Source organism: Homo sapiens, chromosome X, assembly GCF_000001405.40.
Source record: "Homo sapiens chromosome X, GRCh38.p14 Primary Assembly".
Taxonomy (NCBI): Eukaryota; Metazoa; Chordata; class Mammalia; order Primates; family Hominidae; genus Homo; species Homo sapiens.
The window spans coordinates 139,256,694-139,258,948 of NC_000023.11; positions in this window are offsets into that span (position 1 = coordinate 139,256,694).

The following is a 2,255-nucleotide window of genomic DNA, read 5'->3' on the forward strand; positions in this document are numbered from 1 at the left end:
TCCATTTTATTTACCCATATTCTTATTTACTGTGTTCTTTCTTTCTTCCTGATGCTGCAAGCTTCCTTTTTAATCATTTTATTTTTTTAAAGAACTGTCTTTAGTCTTTCTTTTAAGATAGGTCTGCTGGTGACAAATTCTTTTAGTTTTCCTTCATTTGAAAAGTTTTGATTGCCCCTTCATTCCTGAAGGATATTTTCAGTGGGTATAGGATTATGTGTTGACAGTTTTTTAGTTTCAGCACTTGGGAACATTGTGCCAGTGTTTTCTAGACTTCATGTTTCTTTTCTTTCTTTTTTTTTTTTTAATGAGAAATCGTCTCCATTCCAATTGTTGTTGTTGTTGTTTTTTCTCTATAGGAAAGGTGTTATTTTTTCTCTCACTACTTTGAAGATTTTTTCTTTACCTTTATTTTGCAAAAGTTTAATTATGATATGTCTTAGCATGGATTTATTTGAGTTTATTCTTTTCAGGTTTGTTTAGCTTCTTAAATCTGTAGGTTAATGTCTGACAAATTTGGGAAGTTTTCAGCTATTATTCTTAAAGTACTTTTTCAGCTCTACCTTCTTTCTTCTCTCCTCTAGGACTCCTACTAATGTTACATATTTTGTCTTAGTCCTACAGGTCTTTGAGGCTCTATTCCTTTTTCAATCTATTTTCTCTTTTGTTCACACTGGGTAATTTTTATTACTCGATCTTTCAGCTCACTGATTCTCTCCTCTGTCCCCTCCATTTTGCTGTTTAACCCATACACTGAGATGGTTATTTCAGTTATTGTGTTTTTCTGTTCTAAAATTTATAATTTTTTCTTCTTTACATTCTCTTTTTTTTGAGAATTTCTATTTCTTTTCTGAGGCTTTCTACTTTTCACTTTTTGGAAGCATGTTTGTAATTGCTTCTTGAAGTATTTTTTATGATGGATAACTTTACATAGTTGTAAATAATTCTAACAGCTATGTTATCTTGTTGTTGGTGTCTCCAGATTGCCTTTTCTCATTCAGTTTGAGATTTTCTTTTTTTTTTTTTTGTATGCCATATAATTTTTGAGGGAAACCTGGGGAATTCTGTATTATTTTATGAAATTCCAAATCTCATTATTTAAAAGCTCTGCTTTAGCCAGCTGTATCTGACATCAGTCTGGGAGGGGAAGGGTGATAGAGCCTTATTACTGACAAAAGGGGTTAGACATCCAGATCTCCCACTTGGCCTCTGTTGACACTTAAGAGAAGGCACCCCTTACTGTGAGAGGTGGGAGGGTTCTGGATCCCCATTAGGCTTCAGTTGATACCTCTCTGGCTGGGAGGGGTAGGAGTGCTTTGTTTTTGCTCTCTACATGACCACTACGGACACCTTGAGGTAGAAGAATGGCTTCATTACAACTGAGAGGTGCCAAAAGTCCTGACTTTTCACTAGGCCCTCTCTAACACCACCCCAGTAGAGAACTGGAGGAACACTCCATTAAAGCCATTTGGGAATAGAAGTCCAGGCTTCCCACTTGATCTACACTGACACCAGAAGCAGAGGGTCTCACTACCAACTGGTGAGGATGAAAGTAACTCCCTACTTGGTCTTCTCTGACACAATCCTGGTGACAGTTTGGGTCTATTTGTTACAAGCTACAAAGGTGGATGTCTAGCCTACCCACACTTTATTTGCTTATATGAATGGTTGTAGGACAATTGCTTTTTCTGTTGTATTTGGCTGGAGTACAACAGTTACTGTTTAAAAATTTCTGTCCTGCTATGCTTCCCCTTTACTGGTCCTTTGGTTAGAGAGGGAATGCTTTGACTGGAACACTTTTATTTTGTCTGTACCCATTAGTGTTTCTGAGTTGGTGATTTCTCTAGCTCTAAGTCTGAGATATATGAGACAAAGAGAAAACCCTGGGAACTCAGTACCATGTCCTATCTTTTCCAAAATCTTTTTATGTTTGTTTTGTATATAAGTTCCAGGGTTTTAGTTGTACTTAGCAGGGGAAACAGGATAAAGCATATCTGCTTCATCGTCTAAGAAATGAAAGTCTTCTGCAAATGTTTAAGAATTGAAATCATTCAAAGTATGTTCTCTGGTCACAAAAGAATAAAGCTAGAAATACATTATAAAAACATATCCAGAATATACACAAACATTTGAAAATCAAGAAATATACTTCTAAATAAATCATGATACAATAGAGACATCACAAGGAAAATTAAAATATTTTCAGTTTAATACAATTAAAAGCATAACATATCAAAATTTGTTAAAGGCAGCTA